The sequence below is a fragment of the Homo sapiens genome, chromosome 9 (genome assembly GCF_000001405.40).
Source record: "Homo sapiens chromosome 9, GRCh38.p14 Primary Assembly".
Taxonomy (NCBI): Eukaryota; Metazoa; Chordata; class Mammalia; order Primates; family Hominidae; genus Homo; species Homo sapiens.
In genome coordinates, this window is record NC_000009.12 from 107872140 (window position 1) to 107874809 (window position 2670).

At 41.3% G+C, this 2670-nt stretch overlaps 1 annotated feature.

Annotated features, from left to right (window-relative positions):
• Positions 249-1132: an enhancer, noted in NCBI's record as "OCT4-NANOG hESC enhancer chr9:110634669-110635552 (GRCh37/hg19 assembly coordinates)". NCBI's record gives its function as "activates a minimal SCP1, AML or CMV promoter by ChIP-STARR-seq in naive H9 embryonic stem cells {active_cell/tissue: H9 hESC(naive)}" and the evidence as "EXISTENCE:reporter gene assay evidence [ECO:0000049][PMID:30033119]".

The window sequence follows — 2670 nt, forward strand, 5'->3', positions numbered from 1 at the left end:
TATCTCTAAATTGTGATCCAGTTACATAAAATAAGTACTTATATGTGTTAATTATCCCAGTTAGTTTTGATGCTGACTTAATCACATGCTAAATTATGCCATGGACTTTTTCCGTTATAAAAATTTATGTTCTTTACTCTGTAAGTATTATACATTTTTATTATTGTTGCTTTGTGATATGGTCTGCTTCTATTATTGCTTTTTTTAGCATTATTTTTGTGCGTGTGTTCTCATGCATTTATTTTTCTTAAGAGTTTTAGATTAATCTGTGCAGTTCTAAAAGGAGATCATTTGATATTTGGGTTAGGGCCTACATAAGCTTGCCTCCATTATTGGGTGGGTCAGGATAGAATGGCCTGGAGCAGTTTGTTCTAAGTGGTGTGGTTGGATGGAAAGAGCTGGGCTTTACAATTGGATATGTCTAGGGATGAGCCCCATCCTACCACCGGCTAGCTTGTCCAGGCTGAGTAACCCCCCAGAGCCTAATTCCCTTCTTAACCACATAGGGGTAGCACAGCCCACCTCAGGTGGAGTTGTTATCTTGGCTCTGCCACTGCCTGCCTGTCGCTCAATCATTTCCTTACATCTCTCTCAGAAGGGGGTCATTCTAATTAAATGAGAGAAAAAGGCATCTGAAACATTCAGCGTAATGTCTGCCACAATATCAGCAGCTAATTTTCATTTCCTTTTTATTTTCTCCCAATCACAATTTGTAGCTTCATTTGAACTTCTTAAGCTCCCTCCAAATGTGGATGTGTTTGAAATGGATTCCTCTGTCTCTTTACATGTGCATAGCTGTTTCTGACTGACACTCAAGGATGTTGTAGATTATTGTCCTTTTCTTTTGTTCTCTGCCCCTTTGTGAAGCTCTTGTAACACTGTGGGTGGTCCATGGTTCTTTTCAGGCTCTTATGGATTTTTTAGGTAGGTGCAGAGCTACCTTTTGGCTGAAGCCTTCTGAAAGTCATGGCTGTGTTCCTAAACAGAGGCTAGAAACTGTCAGTTCCTTGAGCCATGTTAAGGGTGGCCTCTACCAAAATTTAGGAGCTATTCTTGGTTCGCTCCCTCGAGGACTGTACTCTTGGGTATCCAATCTTTGAACCTCTCACCAAAAGAGCTAAGTTCTTCCATAGGAGGATTTCATGTCTGATTTCCACCTGTGCCTCACTCCCACCCTGTCCTCAGCCAGAACCCACATGACCTATGGTATTTTCAGATTAGGAGTCTCCTTTTGGCATCCTGTGGACTTTTCACTATTGCAAATGCACATCCACCAAGCAAGTAGTCCACTCCAGAGCAAGGTAACATGTGATGTAGCCGACTCAGGCATCTGAGAATGGGGTTCTCATCTTGGTTCTGCCACTACCAGGAAGGATATTGGGGATGTAGAAATAAGTCAGCCCTGCAGTCACTTGTAGGCTAGAGAAGAGCCAAGACTCTTCACAAAGCTGCCAATCTTGTTCTAACCAGACCGCGTTGTTACAACCAAACTGGGAACCACCATGCCATCAACATTCCTTAGTTGGAGTGGGAGAGAATCAGTTTCCCAGGAAAGCGTGGTGCTGCAACTACAATATAGAGAAATGGGGGCAAGAAATGGGGGACATGCAAATCAAGAGATTTCTGATAGTTGCTCCTCAATACCCCCAGTTAAGGGCTTAAAATTAAAAGCCCAAATCTCAAAAGCTCATTAGCCTTTTGAGGTAACATGAATATGGCTGTATCTCATTCATTTATTTACATCTCTCTCTTTTCCAAAAAGTATTTGAAATTGCTTTACAACTACAGGAAAAAGTAGAAATCATAAAATGAGAAGGAATAAAATAGGAAAGTTAGGGACTGGAGAAAAAAAGTGGAGTCAGAAATGACAGAAACACAAGTACGAACCCCTGTGCACTTGTATTTGACCACATTTGACCTTGAGTTTCCTAGCAGTCCGAAGAAACAGAAATGTTTTGGGCAAATTAGTTTATCTCTAAATCTCGGTTTGATCGTTGACAAAATGGAAATAGAAACACCTCCATCAGAAGATTGTTCTGAAGATGACATGAAATAAGGGATGCAAAACCCTTAGGTACAAATGTGTAACACAGTAGGGACCCCACAATTGCTAGTTTGTTGTTGTTACTGTTATTTCTGTTAGCAGCTGCTTTGGGGTTAGACATCAGTACTGTAGCTGGTGCATAGGTTGACTCAGCTCCAGAGGTCCTGTCCCCTTTTCAGCGTGGCACAGTCTGAGAAATGACGATGTGAAGTTAACTATACCACTGATATAAATGTGAGGTGTGAGAAATTAATTTGCTTCCAAGAGGTATGATGACAGGTAAGGACAGCGATGTCACTTTGTGTCATAGGACACAAAGGAACAATACCAATTAGATGGAATAGATGTCCCACGTATTCCAACCCACTGGCCAAAGAAGTGGCTTCAATAGAAGCAAATGCTAGAGCTTAAAGGAAGCCTCCACAGCTCAACCTCCTCTCTTTTCAGGGGGAGGGGGAGAGTTGAGTTTTCTAGCATTACACAGATAAATGCTGAAATTCCAGTTCTTTCTCTTAAAGTACCCATGGATGGGAGGTGACAAACGTGGATTTGAAGTAAAGAAAAAAAAATGCTGATTTATTTATAGTTTAGGGAAGTGAAAGTCAGCTTGAGTTCGGACCGTTCAT